The following is a 22,030-nucleotide window of genomic DNA, read 5'->3' on the forward strand; positions in this document are numbered from 1 at the left end:
CAGATTCTCAAAAGGGTTTATGACCTAAAGAGTTGAAAACGATTAATGCAGCAAACTGGCAGAATGGTCTGTGTGGGGAGGGGAGAAGGGGTTGGGATTATATAAGTCGAGCCCATTCCCCTCCCCTGAGACCAGCTGTTCTTAACTATACACCAGATAGTCATTAACAAACAGATGCCATTCCTCTCTTTAGTGGCTTCTTGTTCATTAAGTACTTGACAGGGTTATTGGTAGATTACAAAAATAGCTCATCAGGGAAAGTAGAAAGGAGACCAGTGCAGGCAGAGCAGAGGAGAGAACCCAGGAAAAGGGATAGTCAGTAAGAAGATTCGATAAATTAAAATGCCAGAGAAGCCAAAGAAGAAAAAGTCCTGGGAAAGACGAAGTGGTTACAGGTGTCAAGCACAAATATGGGATGAGGGGGGAAAAAGTCTCAAAATTCAATGACCCTCAATGCATGGCTTCTGTAGGGTGATGAGAGGCCAGAGGCTAGAGATAAGGGGTCCAAATCAGGACACTTGGAGAGCAAAAGGAAGTGCCATTGATAATTACGGTGAATGACAGGTATAAGTCAGGACTGTCCTGGGCCAACAGATAGACAGGTAGCTACCTAGTTGAGGAGGAAATGAGTAGTATAGATGGGAAGGCAGCAGATACTGTCTATTAGCTCAAAGGGTTTAGCTGCAAAAAGAAAACTAGGACATTAGTCAGAAAAGCCAGTAGGGAAAAGAAAAGGCTTTACCGTGTATTGATTTGGGAGACAGGAGGACTTCTGGAGGTTCTGAAGAAGGGGGCTGGGTGCAGTGGCTCATGCCAGTAATCCCAGCACTTTGGGAGGCCAAGGTGGGCAGATCACTTGAGCCCAGGAGTTCAAGACCAGCGTGGGAAACACAGCGAAACCCCTTTTCTACAAAAAAATTTTAAAAAATTAGCTGAATGTGGTGGTGTGCACCTGTAGCCCTCGCTACTCAGGGTGGGGCTTAAGTGGGAGAACTGCTTGAGCCCAGGAGGTTGAGGCTGCAGTGAGCTATGATTGTGCCACTGCGCTCCAGCCTGGGCAACAGAGCAAGACCCTGTCTCAAAAAAAGAAAAAAAAAAAGGGAAAAGGGAAGAGGCACAAAGGACTGAGAGCGTTGCACATTCTCCATCCCACGGAACATCATGAGGAACAGCAGCTCCTCCAATACTGCTGCAGGAATGCTGACTGTGGCACTCTGGTTCCTCGGGAACCAGGAAAGGACAGAATAAGCAGGAGTAGGGAGAGACATTTCCTCCTTTGAAACTGTAAGAAAAAAAAAAACCACCTTCTGAAAAGAAAAGGCAGACCGCAGCATTTTATTTCAACCTAGCGAGCATCGACGATCTGGCTGTGAGGAAAGGATGCATTTTCAAATTAGCTTTCACTATGGTTTTCTCTTCCCTTCTCAAGGGAGAAGATATTAAGAAGAAAATAAAGTGAACTCTTAGATGTTCATCAAAGTTAAATCCTGGCTGGGCACGGTGGCTCACATCTGTAATCCCAGCAATTTGGGAGACCAAGGCAGGTGGATCACTTGAGGAGTTACAGACCAGACTGGTCAACATGGCGAAGCCCCATCTCTACTAAAAATACAAAAATTAGCTGGGCGTGGTGGCGTGTGCCCGTAGTAGTCCCAGCTACTTGGGAGGCTGAGGCAGGAGAATCGCTTGAACCCGGGAGGTGGAGGTTGCAGTGAGCCAAGATTGCACCAGTGCACTCCAGCCTGGGCAAGAGTGAGACTCCATCTCAAAAAAAAAAAAAAAAAAAAAGTTAAATCCTGTGCAGACTGGCAGAACTAGAATAAGGGAATATATCCTTATTTCATGTTGTCCAGTGCTGAGCATTGATTTGTAATTTCATTTTACGCAGGCCCAGTGGCTCATGCCTGTTATCCCAGTACTTGGGGAGGCCAAGGTGGGAGGATCGCTTCAGCCCAGGAGTTTGAGACCAGCCTGGGTAACAGTGAGACTTCGTCTCTACAGAAAATAAAAAGACTAAAAATAATTAGCCAGGCATGGTGGCGCACGGTCCATCTACTTGGGAGGCTAGTCCCAGCTCCTTGGGAGCTGAGGCGGGAGGATCGCTTTTGACTTCAGGAGGTCAAGGGTGCAGTGAGCCATGATCGTGCCACTGTACTCCAGTGTGGGTGACAGAGCGAGACTTTTGTCTCAAAAAAATTTTTTTAAATGGTTTCATTTCAGTACAGCTCGGGGGCCATAGAAAGGTCAGGGGAACAGTCACCGATCTAAGGTTCAACTGGGTAAGAAAACATTGGCTGGCGTGGGGACACAAAGATGAGACCACACCCACAGTGCAGCCGGAAAGGAAACTCTGAGCCAAACGCCAGCCAAGAGGTTCAATGAGAAAACAGACGGCCCTTAACTTACAACCGGGCAATTCATCCAAACCGAGCACAGTCTTCCACAGTGGGAAAGGGCAAGTTTTCACAGAACAGATGGAAATGAAGCCACCCCAGCACCTCAGGTGAGGGAGCACGTGACCCAGCAATGCTGTGGGTCAGCGTGGGCTCACCCGGGAGCGCTCAGTATCAGGAAACATGAGGGCACCGATCACATTCTAAATCTCAGTGCTCATGGTATATAGATTTAAGTAACGAAATGGAGATTCATTATAAAAGTCAGTTTATTTTCCCTTTCTGTGTTTCGTATTTTCCCTTTTTGTCAGTAAATGAGCAATACACTGATTGGAAATCTGCATGATTAAATAACATTAACAAGTTCATAAACACACCCCATATCAGAGTATAAAGCAAGAGGTTGAAAAATATCCCCTAACCGAATGCAAATTAGGTATCCCTCAAAATTGCACATTCTCCTCCTAGTTTGCTTGCATAATTTAAAATATGTATATACAGAATGATCTTAAAATATTGATAACTAGTATGGAATTCACAGCCCTGAAGATATATATACTCTACATTTTTCTAAAGAACGGACACCCCTCAGGCCCTAGTAATCCATTCATGTGATTCAATGTCATGTACAGACAGTCCTCAGCTTCTGATTTTTGGACTTTACAATGGTGTGAAATGGTTGCAATTTCAACATAATGTACAATATTCAATAAATTACATGATATATTCAACACTCGATTATAAAATAGAGTTTGTGTTAGATGATTCTGCCCAACTGTGGGCAATTCTAAGTGTTCTGAGTACATTTAGGGTGGACGAGGCTAAGCTGTGGTGTCCAGTCAGGGGTATTAAATGCATTTGACTTCCAATGGGTTTACTGGGACATAACCCCATCATAAGTCAAAGAGCATCTGTACTTGACACTTACTAGAAGAAAAGGTCTTTCCCTTTTCTCTAATTCTAGTCTTCTGCTGAGGTAACTCCAGGAAGCTGCTTGTGCCAGAGATCAATCCTCTAAAAATAGACTAAGCAGATTAGCTTCCTAGAGGATCCTAAGTTCCCAGACAACAAATCTGGGATGGAGTGCTTCGGCTGTGAGTTACACGTCGGAATGTTCAAGATAAATGATGTACCTTATGGTCCTTTACACGTCAGAATGTTCAAGATAACTGATGTACCTTATGGTCCTTGAAAGGAAGACTCAATACTTCCAGGAGTCAAAGTTAATTTGAATGAAAATGGAAGAGAACAAGTTGACAATAATTTGAAGCAATTCATGCTTCTAGGGCTGAATGACGTTTAGATCAGACACAGAGTGACTGAGCCAATCAACAGGCATGTAGTGTGATCTTTCCCACCACAGTGAACAGAGGGATTCTTTGTCCAAGGCAGGCTTGCAGCTCGGTCCAGCTTGAGCATTTGATCAGGATTTGATGCTTCAAAGATGACCCACTCTCTGTAAACTCATTACCAAAGCAAAATGCAATGATCTCTTCCATTTGTGGAACATACCACCAACACAAACCACGCGTGGCTTTGCCTCCTGTTCACTCCATTTTCAAGGCTAGAGAAAGTTCAAGTCCAAAACAACAGTTAAGGTTAAAACGCTAAACCTCAATAGGCCAAACAAAGACGCGGGCAGAGTCAGAGGTCAAAGATGCTGGCAGAGTCAGAAGTCACTCGGCACATTCATGAAACAACAGCAAAAATCATCAACAGTAATTCCTGTAGTGTAGAAAACTAGTGCAGCCTTCACTGCTGGTCAGCATCTCAGGTGGCTGGCAGTGTTGAGAGACGCCTGACAATCCAAGATCAGGCTGGAGCTCCTAGACAAACCCAAATTAGGGCAGACTCGAAGCCCCAGCGGTCCTGATGTGGCTGACATTGTTCTTTCTGTCTCGCGGGCACCGGTCACTCCCTCAATATGTGAGCCTGTCTCCTTAGCACGAGAGAGAATATTTCCCTCACTATTAATGGCGAGATAAACACAATTGTACAACTTGTCTGTAAAGAGAAAATAGTATTAAATATGCAGCAACAGTTTACTTCTGTTAGAGTGTCATGTTTTGAACATAATAATGGATTTGGACAATTACATTCATTTTGACTTCATACAAAGATAATGTTTAATCTTCAATGAATTAGAAAATGATTTTGAAAATTATGGCTAATATTACAAAACACTCAACATCACATTTCAGTTCCCAAAAAAAGAACAATACATACAAATAATTTGCCATAGGCGGAGCAGAGAACTGAGACCAGAGGCTCAGATGAACAACAGTGATCCTTATAATAGATAAAAGTTTTCTTTCTACTACAGTTCCTAGTATGATCACATCAGAAAGTTCATCACAAGATACTTCCCTCTACTTAGCATGGATGTCAGAAATGGAACACAAGTTACATGGGCCCAGTCTTTAGAAGCTAGATGGGAATTAGATGAAAGCTCCAAGGTATTCCTGGAGCTGGACTATCCTGGGGCTCCTTGACCACAGCAAGAGGACAGCTGCCTGGAGTACGGGTGGTGGAAGCTGCCTTCAATTACAGTGCCCTGGATTTGGGGACAGGATACTGAATGCGTCCCTGGTGCCTTCCAGACTCTCTCAGGTAGACCTGTCTTGAGCACTGTCCCACAATAACGTGCCTGAGTATGTCACAGCTCATAACAGAGAGCAATATTTTAAAAGCACAAAGCCTCAGGAGTTTGAGACCAGCCTGGGCAACATGGTGAAACCACCTCTAGGAAAAATTCAAAAAGTTACCAGGCATGGTGGCACACACCTATAGTCCCAGGTAATCAGGAGGCTGAGGTGGGAGGACCCCCTGAGCCCAAGATCACCTGAGCCCAGGAGGTCAAGGCTGTAGTGAGCTGTGATCGTGCCACTGCACTCCAGCCTGGGTGACAGAATGAGACCTGTCTCAAAAAAATAAATAAATAAAAATAAACAAGGCCTTACTCTGTATTGGCTATTTCCAAGAAAGTAGAGAATCCCAGCCAAGAATGTCTAGGGCATCATAAATATTTCCTCAAGAAACTATCAACATTTTAGAACCGGGAAACATGACAGTGTTGATTACAGCAATGCTTCTCTTTTAACTCAAGTGTTGCTTGGTATACATTGTAATTTACTTCAGAATTCCTATATTATATTCAGCAGATAGAGGGTAGCCTAGAAGAGTATACTGATTAGGGGCTGGTGATACTTTAAATAAGTCTCTTCTTGTTTTTCTGAAATCATAAATGGCAATATTCATTAGACTCAGGTCAAGAGCAAACTGAGAGCCTTTTTCTTCCTCACAAAGAAGAATGTGAAGTCAGGCGCAGTGGCTCCTGCCTGTAATCCCAGCACTTTGGGAGGCCGAGTCGGGTGGATCACCTGAGGTCAGAAGTTCAAGACCAGCCTGGCCAATATGGTGAAACCCCATCTCTACTAAAAATACAAAAATTAGCCGGGTGTGGTGGCAGGCGCCTGTAATCCCAGCTACTCGGGAGGCTGAGGTGGGAGAATCGCTTGAACCCGGGAGGCAGAGGCTGCAGTGAGCCAAGATCACGCCACCACACTTCAGCCTGGGCAACAGAGCGAGACTCTGCCTCAAAAAAAAAAAAAAAAAAAAAGAAGAAGAAGAAGAAGAAGATGTCTTTTAGACTAATAAAATGTTACTTTTCACAAAGGAGCCTTTAAAAGCAATCAACAGTTTTGCTGAAGTGACTTAAGTAAGTGCTTTGAACTTAATTAACAGAAAAATGACTTTTTTTTTTTTAAAGGGGCACACACTTACCATGAGAATGAAAAAGTAGAAAACCCACATCCATCCTAGCTTGTCCCGGATCAGAGACACTAAATACTGAAAGGGAGGAAAAAAAAATTACAATATAATTCTTTATAATTCATAAAAGGAAGCAGCTAAAAAGTAGATTAAACATGGCTATTTTAGAAAATAAGAAGGGAACAGGATTTGTATGTTTTGCAGTTTACAAAGCTCTTCCACATACATGTGCCTGCTGTGATTAATGGCCCATTTAAGCATGCAGAGTCCAAATGGAAAAACCGTATAATAGAAGTTGTCAGTTCAGAAGGTTTATTTTTATTCACTTTGCTATTTAGAGAGGAAGATGAACATCCGCAAGCCACTCCCATTTAATCATTCTTTCTTCCAATGAAAGGTACTATAATTGATGCCTCAAAAATAGTTTGTCTTTAAGTATGCCACTCATTTTCCAATTAGGCTGTTTGCTCACAGTGTTGCAGTACTACCTTTGCATCCTACAGCATATTCTTTTATTTTACTTTCAATTACTGAAAAGGATCTAATTGCACTTATTTAACCCATTTTCTTTTTTTCTCTTATTATGGTAAGATATAGCTTACATAAAATTTGCCATTTTAACTTTTTTTTTTTTTTTGAGATGGAGTCTCGCTCTGTCGCTCAGGCTGGAGTGCAGTGGCGCAATCTCGGCTCACTGCAAGCTCTGCCTCCCAGGTTCACATCATTCTCCTGCCTCAGCCTCCCGAGCAGCTGGGACTACAGGCGCCTGCCACCTCACCCGGCCAATTTTTTGTATTTTTAGTAGAGATGGGTTTTCACCACATTAGCCAGGATGGTCTCAATCTCCTGACCTTGTGATCCGTCCACCTCGGCCTCCCAAAGTGCTGGGATTACAGGCGTACTGCGCCCGGCCCATTTTAACCATTTTTAAGTGTACAATCCAGTGGTATCAGTTACATTCATAATGCTGTACAACCAACACTACCATCTATTTCCAAACTTTTTCATCATCCAAATAGAAACTCTGTTCCTATTAAGAAATTAACTGCCCATCTCCCCAGCCCTTGCTAACCTCTTCTTTCTGGTTCCATGAACTGGCCTATGCTAGATATTTCGTGTAAATGGAATCACAGTATTTGTCCTTTTATGTCTGGCTTGTTTAACTTAGCATAATGCTTTCAAGGTAAACTACATTGGAACTTCACTCCTTTTTTTTTGGAGATGGAGTCTCGCTCTGTCACCTAGGCTGGAGTGCAGTGGGGCAATCTCTGCTTACTGCAACCTCTGTCTCCCAGGTTCCAGTGATTCTCCTGCCTCAGCCTCCAGAGTAGCTGGGATTACAGGTGTGAGCCACCATGCTCGGCTAATTTTTCTATTTTTAGTAGAAATGAGGTTTCACCACATTGCCCAGGCTGGTCTGGAACTCCTGACCTCAGGTGATTCACTCACTTCAGCCTCCCAAAGTGCTGGGATTACAAGCGTGAGCCACTGCGCCCGGACTTTCTTTCTTTTTAAATGGAGTCTTGCTCTGTCACCCAGGCTGGAGTACAGTGGTGCGATCTTGGCTCACTGCAACCTCCTCCTCCCAGGTTCAAGCGATTATCTTGCCTCAGCCTCCCAAGTAGCTGAGGTGCCACCCCCCGCCCAGCTAATTTTTGTATTTTTAGTAGAGACGAGGTTTCACCATGTTGGCCAGGCTGGTCTCAAACTCCTAACCTCAGGTGATCCACCCACCTCAGCCTCCCAGAGTGCTGGGATTAAAAGAGACAGGGTCTTTCTCTGTTGCCCAGACTGTAGTGTAATGGTATGATCACAGCTCACTGTAACTTCCCTTCATTTCTTTTTAATGGCTCATTAGTATTCCCTGGTATGGATATACCACATTTAGTTTCTCCATTCATTTGCTGATGGACCCAAGTTGTTTCCACCTTTTGGCTACTATGAATAATACTGCAATAAATGTTGACATACAAATATCTGAGTCCCAGTTTTGTTTTTTTTTTTTTTTTGAGAGAGTCTTCCTCTGTCACCCAGGCTGGAGTGCAGTGGTGTGATCTTGGCTCACTGCAACCTCCGCCTCCCAGGTTCAAGCGATTATCCTGCCTCAGCCTCCTGAGTAGCTGGGATTACAGGCACCTGCCACCACATCCAGCTAATTTTCGTATTTTTAGTAGAGACAGGGTTTCACCATGTTGGCCAGGCTGGTCTCGAACTCCTGACCTCAAGTGATCTGCCCACCTCGGTCTCCCAAAGTGCTGGGATAACAGGCATGAGCCACCGCGCCCGGCCCCCAGTTTTCAATCTTTCGGGAAATACCTAGGAGTGCTGGGTCATATGGTAATTCTATTTAAATTTTTTGGAAGAAGCACCAAAGTATTTTTCACAGAAGCTGCATCATTTTGCATTCCCACCAGCAATGCAGGGCTCCAATTTCTGCACATCCTTGCCAGCACCAGTCACCTTTCCTGTTTGTTTTTTTTTTTGAGATGGAGTCTCACTCTGTCACCCAGGCTGGAGTGCAGTGGCACAATCTCAGCTCACTGCAAGCTCCACCTCCCGGGTTCACGCCATTCTCCTGCCTCAGCCTCCCAAGTAGCTGGGACCACAGGCACCCGCCACAACGCCCAGCCAATTTTTCTTGTATTTTTAGTAGAGACGGGGTTTCACCGTGTTAGCCAGGAGGGTCTCCATCTCCTGACCTCGTGATCCGCCCGCCTCGGCCTCCCAGAGTGCTGGGATTACAGGCTTAAGCCACCGCGCCCGGCCCTTTCCTGTTTTTTAATTACAGCCATCGTAGTAAGCATGAAGTCACAGCTCACTGTGTTTTTGATTTGCATTTTCCCAATGACTAAGGATGCTGAGACTCTTCATGTGCTTATTGGTCATTTGTACATATTTGTCATGAAGATTTGTCCCTGTTTTCTTCTATGAGTTTCATAATTTTAAGTTCTTCAAGTTAGGCCTTTAATCCATTTTGAGGTAATTTTTGCATATGAGGTAAGGTTAGGGTCCAACCTCATTCTTTTTTTTTTTTTTCTTTCCTCTCCCACTCCTCAGCTCCAACTTCATTCTTTTCACGTGGATATCCAGTTTTCCCAATACTATTTATTGAGAGACCATCCTTTCCCCATTGAATGGTCCTGGCACCCTTGTCAAAAATCAATTTGGCCGCAGACACAAAAGGGTAGCATTCTTCAATCACATTATTACTGAAATGTACAAGTGAAAAAAATTAATGCAGAACGACTATGTGATTTATATTAGATCACATCATGTGTAGCAAAAAAGCAGAGGTCTCATCATCCACTACAGGAAGCATGGGGGGCTCCAAACTGACTGCAACTTTGTCTTTTTTTTTTTTTTTAGACAGGGTCTTGTCCAGGCAAGTGGCTCATGCCTGTAATCCTAGCACTTTGGGAGGCTGAGGCAGGAGGATCACTTGAGCCCAGGAGTTTGAGACCAGTCTGGGCAATGTGGTGAAACCCTGTCTCTACAAAAAAAATACAAAAATTAGCTGGGCATGGTGGTGGGTACCTGCAGTCCAAGCTACTTGGGAGGCTGCAGTGGGAAAATTGCTTGAGTCCCAGAAGGCAGAGGTTGCAGTGAGCCAAGATCCTGCCACTGCACTCCAGCCTGGGCATAAGAGCCAGATGCTGTCTCAAAAAAAAAAAATAGAGAGAGAGAGCCAGGGTCTGGCTCTGTCACCCAGGCTGGACTGGAGTGGTGTGATCATGGCTCACTGCAGCCTTGACTTCCCAGGCTCAAGCGATCCTCCTGTCTCAGCCTCCTAAGTAGTTGGGACAGGCACATACCACCATGCTCAGCTAACTTTTTATTTTTTGTAGAGATGAGGGTCTCACTATGTTGCTTGGGCTGGTCTTGAACTCTTGGCCTCAAGTAATTCTCCTGCCTTGGCCTCCCGAAGTGCTGGGATTACTGGCATGAGCCACCACACCTAGCCTCATGTACAAGTTTTAATGTGGACATTTGTTCTCATTTCTCTTGGGCAGATACTGCAATTTAATCTTACTGAACCCCTAGTATGTGTCAACAAAAGCACTAAGCATTGGGAATACAAAGACGAAGGAAACAAGCAGAGCACCTGTCACGGTGCATCACCTTTACACCGTGACAGGTGCCTACTACAGAACCGCATCAACTGCTATGGCAACCTGAAGAAGAAACAATTCTTTACTTGGGAAGTCAGGGAAAGACGGGGTAACAAAGTTATTCAGGGTAAATTAGTACACTGGCTAAGGACAGAGCTGATAGAGGTTAACGCTAAGTCACAGAGTTTGGGATTTCACCCCTTAGGCAATGGGAAATCATTCAAAACTCAACATGGAAGAGGAATGAGTAAAGCTAACAGTGATTTACTCCAGACGTGCTTCCCCAACCATGAAGGTCAGTCTAGGACCCAAGTTCACAGTGAGGGATCTGGATACTGGCAGGTGAGGCAATCTGAATAAAAGCAAATTCTCTGAAATACTCATTATAATGCACCCATTTAGTTAGTGAAGAAAACATTCGTAAGGAAGGATAACTTAAAATAATATAATGTCAGAAAAGGATGCCCAATGCAGCCACTCTCTACCCCATAGGTGAAGACGTCTGAACTGATGGCTGGGAGCATTTTTCGATTCCCGCTCCAGGGCATGATCAGGTAAGCGTATTTTTCAAGGCTTTGCTAAGGTTTTTGTTTCTTTGGGGTTTTTTGCCCTTTAGTCTTATAATCAAATATGCCAAGCATATCAGTCATTCATTCCACAAGTAATGTCTACTGTGTGCCAGGCACTGTTCTAGGTACTAAGGTGACAGAAGAACATACAACAAAATGCTGCGCTCAGGAAGCTTATGTTACAGTGGGAGAGACAGACATTAACAAGTGCATATAGACTATTAAAATACGGCTAGGTAGTCAAAGTATTAACATGGCTTACTTTACCTCAATACTTATCTCTCATTAACCACTAGCAATCAGACATCAGCAATTCACCCCCATCAAGCAAGTAACAATAATCTTCAAGGTTATTAATGACCTCCTAGATGTCAAAACTAAGAGCCTAAAAGACAAATCCTTCAGTTCTCTTTCTCCTGACCTCTCTACATCCATGACCTTACTAACGCCTTCTCAAACGCAGTTCCCTTGACTACAGGTTACTCTGCTGCCTTCCTCTTTCTTTGACCACTGGGCATTCCCTGAGACTCGGCCAACATTCTCTTTCCCTATTAAATGTTTCATTCACTTCCACAGGTTCAACTATTTTTATCCATACAGATGACTCTCAGATCCATCTTTCTACAAAATTAGTACTCTACAATCTGTAGTGGTATATCCTAGAAGAGGCATGACTCATGACTCTGCCAGAAAAGAAATATCTGTCCCAGAGAAAGTTGAATTTATGCAAAAAAAAAAAAGGTCAATGTAAATAATTCTAAGTATAGTAGGCCAATCTTAGTGTAGGGATCTCAAACATCTGAGTGTGGAAGAATCACCAAGAAGCCTTGTTGAAAATACAGATCTGTAGGTTCGAACTCAGCAAGTCTGTAGTATGCTTGGTGTTCTGTACTTTAATGAGTGTCCCAGATGATTCTGATACCAGACACTTATGGGCCACTCTTTGAGATACAGTCAGAGATTTTTGGATACACAGGAAGCAGAGCGAGTGATTCAGAAGCAGCTGCAGAGTCCATGGCCATGTCTGGCGGGGCCCAGGAAGGAACGTGTATGCAGTAGAGTGTCTGGGAGAGGGAGACGGGAGACAGCAATGGTGGGGTCCACATGCCAGGTGGGGATAACAAGAAGCACCCCCCACCACGGAATACCAAGTTCAGCCTGGAAAGAAAGAAGGGGATGGTGGGCTGGGGCAGAAGGATCTGTCTGTCTTACGAGGTCTTAGCTTATTTGCAGACAGGAAGAATCTAGAAGTATAAGTAGAAAAAAGGAACTAAAAACAATGGAGAGTCCTTCTACATTAGGACGCATCAGCTGGTCCTGAGGGGAGACGGAAGTCCTTGGGCTCTGGGAACAGCGTTCTACAGCACAAGAGTGCCACCTACTGAGGCCCAGAGGGCAGGTTCACATTCAGCCGCCTTTGAGGGAAGACACTAGAATCCCAGCCCCTCTCCTGTTCTCTCACCTGGCCCACTGCAGCTCCAATGCTCCCCGAACCATCCACAATTCCTGTGACAGTGGCCAAAGCTTCACTGCTCCTTTGGATGAGCTCCTGGCGACCCAAGTCCGCAGAAATAGCAGAACTAATCATATTAGAAGGTCCACCAATAAAAAATCCTGAAGTCATAAACAGGTTCTTATTAAAACACAATTCACAACCACTAGCAATCTACTGCATAAGGCAAAATAATATCCGAATAGTTTTCTTAATATGTTGGAGAGAAGTGGAAAAAAAAGGAAACCCCCAGATAGTATCATTTTCAAACTATTAGTAGTTAACATCCACGTTCCTGAAATCCCTTCTCGAATTATGTGACACTCTAGTATATTTTGTAGAACCCAAAGATACAAAAATAGTGAAACACATAGCCCTTCTAATCCTGTGAAGTTTACATTCATTAATAACTAATTGCACTAGCTTGTCAAATAAATTCTATTACGGTAGTTGCATCATATGATCATTCCACTACACAAATTCAACCAGGAATATTGAAAAAAAAGAGCAAAGAGGAAAAAGCCACTGCAATGGAGCAGGTGACTCTATCTGCCACTGCTCTCAGTGAGGCTGCCCATGAATCAGGCATGCGATGGCCCAGGTGAATCTGGTCCCACTGCTGGAATCAGTTCCATGTACCCCAAGTAGAATGAGCAGCTCACTCTCCCAAGCATGATCTAAAGTTTAAAATAAGTAACTTTTCTGGCCGGGCGCAGTGGCTTATGCCTGTAATCTCAGCACTTTGAGAGGCTGAGGTGGGCAGATCACCTGAAGTCAGGAGTTCGAGACCAGCCTGGGCAACATGGTGAAACGCTGTCTCTACTAAAAATACAAAAATTAGCTGGGCATGGTAGCAGGCGCCTGTAATCCCAACTACTTGGGAAGCTGAGGCAGAAGAATCACTTGAACCCAGGAGGTGGAGGTTGCAGTTAGCTGAGATCGCACCACTGCACTCCCATCTGGGTGACAAGAGCGAGACTCCTTCTCAAAAATAAAAATAAAATTAGAAAGTTTAAAATAAGTAATTTTTCTGGCTGGGGATGGTGGCTCACGCCTGTAATCCCAGCATTTTGGGAGGCCAAGGCAGGTGGATCACCTGAGGTCAGGAGTTTGAGACCAGCCTGGGCAACATGGTGAAACCATGTCTCTACTAAAAATACAAAAATTAGCTGGGCGTGGTGGTGCACGCCTATATTACCAGCTACTCAGGAGGCTGAGGCAGGAGAATCACTTGAACCCAAGAGGTGTAGGTTGCAGTGAGCTGAGACTGTGCCACTACACTCCAGCCTGGGCAACAGAGCAAGATTCTGTCTCAATAAATAAATAATAAATAAAGTAAGTAATTTTTCTATAACATAGTCCCTAAATGCACCCAACTATTTTATCTAGTGCTCAAGTGACAAAATGCTGACCAATTCCAACACAGGAGGAGACACGAGCTATTGTGGATTTTTTTGAAAGCTGGTGAATTGGTCTCCCATGTGGCATTTTTCTAAGTCACTTTTAGAGGTAAGAGCAGAAGCTGGGGCAGCAATCAAAAATCGTAGAAAATCTCTGTCAATAGGGACCGCTTCTGTCACAATAGGACTGAGGAGGTCATGTAAGAAACAGCAGAGAAAAAGAATCTGGAAAAGGAGGCGTTTTTCCTTTTAAAATTTGAATTCTCTGTAATTAAGGTTTCGGTACTACTCAAATTGAGGGAGAAAACAGTTTCCCTTTTCCTCTGAATTTACAGAGCAACAGAAGCATGGTGGAGCAGAGCCATGTGCCGTACCTGTAACAGTCATCAGAAGGGCATTGATGGACTTATCATTTGGAGAACCTGTGAGGGAAGACACAGACAAACCATGGTGGCTTGAAAAGCAGACTCCACGTGCCTCTGCCAACCGTACGCGAAGATCTGAATCTCCGTGACCTCACAAATCACTCCCAGAGACAACAAAGAGACACAACTCTCTCTGCCTCTTTCAACTCTGATTTGTAACGTCTGCCTCTTGCTAATGCTCAAGCTAACAAGACTTCTAAAAGCTAAAGAAAAGCTCTACTCCTGTCTCAGCAGCATCTTAAGGGAATATACCAAACCTACTAATTACCATCTTTCCGCTTTTGAAACCTGTTCCCTTTTTATTGTTTTATTGGCTATAATGCTGTGCCTCTGGAGCCTCCCCCAAACAAAGCATATACACTCCCAAGCAAGCTTTTAAGCAAATTAACAAAGCAAAAGAGATGCCAGTTTCCTCCCAAGACAAATAAAACTATGTGATGACAGGTTTCCCAGGCATTCACAGGACAATGCAAAGGTGGCATATCGGGCCTTGAAGCTGGTCTCCAGGCTCTCCCCAGCACTGGTCACTGACTCCAAACAAATGCCTTATTCCAACCAGATTAGGGGAGCAAAGGAATTAGTAATTGCAAAAGAATACTCACGACTATACCCGATGAGGGACCCAACTGCCAGAAGCAGACTCAGGGCAAGAACCGGCGCTCTCTTCTGTAGTACATCAGAGATGAAGCCTTGCAAAGTTCCACCTTCAAGCAGAGTGTCGAGCAATCAAAATCACTTCTAATTTAGCTCGCTCACCTGAGGCGTGCTCCCCATTTGCCCTCTAGTCTCACTAGCAGCAGCCTGACACTAGTCTATCAAAAAATATGGCTGGGCCGGGCTCGGTGGCTCACACCTGTAATCCCAGCTCTTTGGGAGGCTGAGGCAGGTGGATCACAAGGTCAGGAGATGGAGACCATCCTGGCTAACACAGTGAAACCCTGTCTCTACTAAAAATACAAAAAAATTAGCCGGGCGTGGTGGCGGGCACCTGTAGTCCCAGCTACTCAGGAGGCTGAGGCAGGAGAATGGTGTGAACCTGGGAGGCGGAGCTTGCAGTGAGCCGAGATTGCGCCACTGCACTCCAGCCTGGGTGACAGAGCGAGACTCTGTCTCAAAAAAAAATAGGTCTGACTCCCTGAAAAGGGGTCCTCCATAACTTCCTTTTAGGAATAAACTGTCTGTTAAATCACCATGATGACCAGTGGGGACAGGAGACCACAAATCAGACAGCAAAACATGAAAAAAGGAAAAACTGTCAAAGCCATCGGCTATCCCTTACAAAAACAAGTTGTGAATGCTATTTTTGATTTTTCTTTTTAATTTGAAAGATAATGAATTAAGAACTATGCCTTGCTGGGCATGGTGGCTCATGCCTATAATCCCAGCACTTTGGGAGACCAAGGCTGGGGGACTGCTTGAGGCCAGGGGTTCAAAACCAGCCTGGGCAACACAGTGCCCTTATCTCTATAAAAGATAAATTAGCCGGGCATGGTAGCACGTGCCTATATTCCCAGCTACTTGGGAGGCTGAGGTAGGAGGATGGCTTGAGCCCAGGAGGTTGAGGCTGTGGTGAACCGTATCGTGCTGCTTGAACCCAGGAGGCTGAGGCTACAGTGAGCTGTATTGTGCCACTGCACTCTAGCCTGGGCAACAGAGCAAGACCGTGTCTCAAAAACCAAAAAAACTGTGCCTTACAGTATATTGAGGCCAGTAGGTGGGCACAGTGGCTCACGCCTGTAATCCCAGCACTCTGGGAGGCCGAGGTGGGCAAATTGCCTGAGCTCAGGAGTTTGAGACCAGCCTGGGCAATACAGTGAAATGCCATCTCTACAAAAAATACAAAAAAATTAGCTGGGTGTGGTGGTGCATGACTGTAGCCCCAGGTACTTAGGGAGGATCGCTTGAGCCCAGGAGGTTGTGGCTCCAGTGAGCCAAGATCGTGCCACTCCAGCGTGGGCGACAGAGCAGTACCCCCATCTCCAAAAAAAAAAAAAAAGAAAAAAAAAAGTGGCTAGTAAATATTCACTAAAATAAAATTTAGCAGTTATGGTTTGCTAATAGGACACAATCTTTAAAAAGCAGGGATATGAATCTTTCAAGCAACAATGTCACATACAGCACCATTCTGAGTTGTAGGGGCTATTGGACATCTGGTGTGTCCTTATCAGATAGCAGGCAGCTGGACAATTTCAACTTCAGAGGATACAGAATATGGTGAGGTCTAACGGTGGCAACCTCACCTTTGGCTCTGGATTTAAGAATACGGGCAGCCAAGTTCAAATACAGTAATAGCAGATTGCCTAGCACAGACTGTGTGCTTTCACAAGCTCACGGCAGTTGAGTCTCACCACAATTCTAAATGTTAACATTATTGAAGGTTATTAAGATCTGGCACAGCCATGTAAGTAATACCCACTAAAATACATTCTGCTCCTCTGCCTTACTTCCTTGTTCATACTTATTACCTCCTTGTTGATACTTCTAGCTACAGCAAAAAAAAAAAAAACCACTATTAAAATCTTTGTTTATAATGAAACAACTGTAAAACATTCACAAAAATTAATCCCTGCTGTTACGTCTACCTCTATGATCTGACGACCTACACACTAAGGTGTATTTCCCCTTTATCCTCAGCAGATATGTTCCATGACCCCCGTGGATACCTGAAACCACAGACAGTACCAAACTCTATACATACTATGTTTTTTTCTATACATACATACCCACGATCAAGTTTAATTTATAAGTTGGGCACAGAAATTAACAATAACGACAAAATAGAAAATAATAACAATATACTGTAACATAAGTTATATGAATGGTCTCTCTGAAAATATCTTATTGTACGGTATTAAGAGTAACTGAAACTTCGAAAAGTGAAACCACAGATAAGTGGGGGACTGGTGTATTCTTCCTTATTAGGCTGGGGAAGGTGGGGAAGGTGGGAGGTAGATACAATGAACACGTTCATATTCTAACTTGGATCTCTGACATACAATTAGCTTTAGAGCTAAGATATCACTGAGAAAGCCGTATGAAAGGATTGCATTTAAAGAGATTCCCATGTGCTTCCCGAGACAAAAGAACTGATCCATCAACAAAGGACTAAGAAAAAAGAGTCCAATAAATCACAGCGCTGCCTTAGGCTAGGTCTTCCTTTCTATGGACCTCTTGTTTTTTCTTTTCTTTTCTTTTCTTTTTTTTTTTTTTTTGAGTTTGGCTGTTTACTAGTAGGACAGTTTAGGGAAAATGGCTGTAGAATAAGTAATAAAACTTTAAATGAGGCCAGATTTCACAACCCAGTAAAAGATCACTAGTGACTAACTCTTTATTATGGAAAAGATGTATCACCGGCATACCTATGATCCCTCCAACGTCGTACCAAATGGACAGCTTGTCGGCTTCCGCCTCCTTCCAGCCGAAGTTGTTACTCAGATAAAAGGGGAGCCAGAAGAAGAAGGAGTAATTCACTAACTTCAAGCAGGCGTAGGCCAGTGAGTACTACAAGAAAAGCATTCAACTATCAGCGAGGGACAAATAGCACAGCACGACTACCATTTTTAATGTCATTTAAAAGCAAAACAAAATAAAGGAAGTTAGGATGAACAGAACCTGATTTTACAGTTAAACATCTCTACAAACTCCCACATGCCTGACTTCAGCTAGTCTCCCTCTGCTCTTCATCCCTGTTAACTTCTAGACAGGCATGTACAGCAGGCCTTTGGAATAAAAAACACCTATGGCTACTTCTTAGCTGTGTCCAGTTTCTCCTCCTATCAGTTCTCTGGTAGAAGCAAGCCAGTGTTTTGAACCTATAAGGCAGAGCACATACCCATATTTCTTTATTCACACAAAGAGGAATGGTATTCATGCCACTAACCAGCGTTAACCATAGGCAAAGAAGTCCAGGAAGCATCACGGCCTTTACTGGGAGCAGCCAAACGGGGTTGGTTATTCTACTCCTTGCCAAGGCAACACTGTGAACAATGGACAGCAAAGGGACTACACTACAGTTCCACGGTCTAAGAAAAGCAGCAGCATGATAATTCCTTTCACACTAGTTTTCAAAAGCTCCACATTCCCTGGTCTGGTGGCAAAGAAGAGAGTCTCTCTGGCGAGTCAAAAATGAAAGAACATGTCATCATCGGCCTCGTGGCTCTCCCTTGAGGGGAAAAAAATGCTGCAGCTGCATGAAGATGGTGGTGGGGCTGAGACTCCTATATTCAACACATTACTACCAGGAAATCCTGACATTCAGCATCAAAGGAAAAAGGGGGGGGGGACAGAGGGGCTGACTTCAAAGGGTGTCTGGCTAGTATATTCTTTTCCCTGGAGCTGCCAGTTATTCCCTAGGTATCACTTGTTTTAAAACAGCTTCCCTGGCAGGCAACAGCCACCCCCTAGAGAGCCAAATCCCAATCACGAGTGCATTCTGACCAGACAGCCTGCTACAAAGACAAAGGAATTAAGTTAACTAGATTTCCTTTACATCCCTGCCCATGTCAGAGAACAATAGCTTGTGAAGAACAAAGGAACAGCAAAAGAGGTCCATATTTAGTCACGACAAAGTTCTTTCTCAAAAATTAAACTATTACCAGCAGAGTACTTTAAAAACCAGTTAAAAGATAATAATCAATAGCATAAGAACAGGTCTAAAGCAACCTGCATTTCTCTTATATCATATATCATCACTGGGTTAAAGAATTGTGGAAAATTACATTTTAATTCATACTTAACTTTGTTGGAAATGTTAGTTCTCTCAGCTTGGAGGCACTGACAGAAGGGGATTGACAGGCATGTATTAAGATGGCCTACAGATCACTCTACCTGAGGGATCACATTCATAAAGCACCATTGACAAATGAAATAACAACAGGTGCTTGTTCAAAACACAACAGCCCAATGTTACAGGCCCCAGGGAAGAGTGGAATAATTTCTATTCCATGGGAAGGGGAACTGAGACACACGGACGGGTTGCGTGACTCACCCCAGGTGTCACAGAAAGTTAGTGGGTAAGCTGGAAACATAACCTAGGCCTCTTAACTTCCACTCCAGTGCTAGAGTGCCCGAAACATCAAGACAGAAAAACTGCAGCAGAAGGGATTTAGTGTAGACGTTAGAAGGCTTTCCTGACTGCACAGGCTGTGGAAAACACTGGAATGCATTACCAAGAAAGACTGTGGAGTGCTCTCTTCTGGACCCTTTAAAAGGGGGCAAGCCAGGCGCGGTGGCTCACGCCTGTAATCCCAGCATTCTGGGAGGCCAAAGTGGGCAGACCATGAGATCAAGAGATGGAGACCATCCCGGCTAACACAGTGAAACCCTGTCTCTACTAAAAATACAAAAAATTAGCCAAGCATGGTGGCATGCACCTGTAATCCCAGCTACTCGGGAGGCTGAGGCAGGAGAATCGCTTGAACCCGGGAGGCAGAGGTTGCAGTGAGCCGAGACTGCGCCACTGCACTCCAGCCTGGGTGACAGAGCGACACTCCGTCCCAAAATCATAAATAAATAAATAAAAAATAAAAGGGGGCAAGGCAGACTTAGGAACCATTCACAACCCTTCTTCTTGGTCCACATATAATTCTATAATACTTCGAAAGGCCCAAAAGCACACATTAAAAATTATCAATTTTGCCTTTTTAATCACATACCAGATCAGGGTCAGGAAAGCAGAGCTCTTTGGCCAAGTCTGGCCACGTCTAACTGTCCCATGTTTTCTGTGGCTTATTTTGTTCTACAAAGCTGAGTAGTTGGGGGAGAGACTGGATGGTTCCCCGAAGTCAAAAATATTTATTCTCTGCCTCTTCATGGAAAAGGTTTGTCAACCCCTGCATTAGAGATCAGATAAGCTGAGGGGCACTAGACAACATTCCTCAGCACGTATATTCCTAAAATAAAGTATCCAACAGAGGCTCAATACTTAAGGAAGCTTTATCTCAGGCAGAGGAGATGTCACGGGCTCTCATACCTCCCTGGCTGTGGTAAGATGTAAGCGGTCCTTACCGGTATGACTCCAGGAAGGCAACATGCCTGGTAGAAGCTTATCGCCTTGACTTGGGCAACAGAACTATCATCTTGGATTGAATAATTCGGCTCATATTCGTCTTCATTTTCACCACCATTAATTAATGGCCTGTGTGAGTCTTCTTCAAAGTTTTCTTCTGCCTCAATACCCGAGAGACCTAAAATAACAGCGACAGCCACTGTTTATGGAGTGCCTACCACGTGTGAAGGGCTCTGCATACATCCCTACTTATGAGGTGATGTTATTTTTATTTCCATTTTACAGAAGCAGCAACGAAGGTCCAGAGACCGAGGTCAACTAAGGTCAATTAAAGTCACACAGTCTATCTAAAAATACTCAAAAGATAGAAGAATTGTACATCTGTTTGCTTCTGTGGTTTCATTTGTATGTAATCTGTATTTAACTACAGGTTAAGTATCTTTTTTGTGCATCATTTTTATGGATGAAAAGAAATGTTTCAAGAAGTGAAATCAGAAATACATCTATGTTCATTCCTTGCCAGTGTCTCAATTATAAAAATAATTTGCAAATGCGAAGATTTTCCTGTATCTATAAAAGACGTGCATCACTCCCCTCAAACACGTCCAGCTGTGCCAGGGGCTGGCTACAATGTCGACAGGACTCAAACGGCAGTACTGTTCTCCTTTCACTCACTAAAAGGAGCTCAGAGTTTTCCTAGGAAAAAAGAGATTCGATTTCTTGGCCTCAGATTTCCTTTCGGCCATAATAGTAAGACATTCGGAATAGAAGGGGCGGCTTCTCCTCACCAATTTCTTCTGGTGACACCAGGAGTCCAAAGAAGATAACGATCCCACCAGCAAACTGCACAGACGCCGTCACCAGAAAGGCATACTGGAGGAGAGGGGTGAAAGGTGGTCCTTACATATCTGGGGACAGTCATCACAAGCACATTCATTAAAGGTGTGTGGGGGAAGGTGGGGGTGGGGGAGAGGTGGGAAGGGAGACCGGGAAGCAAGGGAGCACCCAGAGCTTCTACTGGGCCGGGCGCCATGCAAAGTGTTCTACTCGTGTTTTCTCATTTAATTCTTCCTGGTGATTGTATGAGGCTCAGAGAGGAGAATGAAGCTCCCCTGGATACTAAGTGGTACTGTTATGATTGTGAAATTAGACTAGCTCCAAAAATCTAGGTCTTTGTATCACATAGCCTCTCATAAAAGACAGTATCTGCCCTCAAAGATATTACATACAGTTGAGGGGATTAAATACATGAAACAATATTATAAAGCACCAAGAAGCTGAATAGATGAGAAGGCCCAATCCTACTGAGAAACATATACGGGAATCCAGATGAAGGAAAGAGCTGAAGAGGTTGAAGCAGTAAGACAATGTCTTAGGGAAGAATGGAAAATCAAAGTCAATTGCCCATCTTTCCAGGCACACGGTAAGCAAAGACACAGGGTGGAAGGAGATAGAAAGCTTACTGCACGACTCAAGGAGAGGGCTTCTGCTAGGGGATAATCAGGAAGAAAACTGATTTGGAAAGGTGACAGCTAGATTAAAGACTCTCAACCCCCAGGCTGCACAGCTGAATTTTTATTTAACAGAGAATGGAACCTGATGTGGACACTGAATTTTTAAACCGATGAGTGACAAAATTAGTGTTTCCAGAAGTCAAATCTGAGAGCAGCTCAGAAGGTGAACTGAAATTTTCATCTGAACCAACTATACAATCCAGGTGTGAGGCTAAGAAGCCTAGAATAAAGGTGGCCATGAATGAAGGGAATGAAGGACTTCTCACTGACCCTAACTACACCAAAATTCTTGGTGAGCTGTTTAAAAATGTATCTACCTTTTAAAAGAGCGAACTTACCTTTAATAATTT

The 22,030-nt window shown here is 44.0% G+C and overlaps 1 protein-coding gene across 17 annotated transcripts in view; it reads right to left on the reverse strand.

The window, feature by feature from the left end:
• Positions 1-2,644: 2,644 nt before the first annotated feature.
• SLC37A3 (solute carrier family 37 member 3) overlaps positions 2,645-22,030 on the reverse strand; it is a 64,779-nt gene continuing 45,393 nt past the window's right edge. For 2 of the 17 annotated variants that reach the window (NM_001363375.1, NM_207113.3), the window contains 8 exons: positions 20,955-21,039; positions 20,166-20,344; positions 17,519-17,660; positions 14,762-14,863; positions 14,109-14,156; positions 12,305-12,456; positions 6,177-6,242; positions 2,645-4,397 (listed from right to left, as the gene is read on the reverse strand). In NM_001363375.1, coding sequence (NP_001350304.1) covers positions 4,305-4,397; positions 6,177-6,242; positions 12,305-12,456; positions 14,109-14,156; positions 14,762-14,863; positions 17,519-17,660; positions 20,166-20,344; positions 20,955-21,039 — 867 coding nt within the window. In that variant the 3' untranslated portion in view covers positions 2,645-4,304. Of the gene's footprint in view, positions 4,398-6,176; positions 6,243-12,304; positions 12,457-14,108; positions 14,157-14,761; positions 14,864-17,518; positions 17,661-20,165; positions 20,863-20,954; positions 21,040-22,030 lie in introns of all 17 variants that reach the window. The other 15 variants (XM_047420947.1, NM_001363373.1, XM_047420949.1 and 12 more) reach the window with 12 other exon arrangements.

Source organism: Homo sapiens, chromosome 7, assembly GCF_000001405.40.
Source record: "Homo sapiens chromosome 7, GRCh38.p14 Primary Assembly".
NCBI lineage: Eukaryota > Metazoa > Chordata > Mammalia > Primates > Hominidae > Homo > Homo sapiens.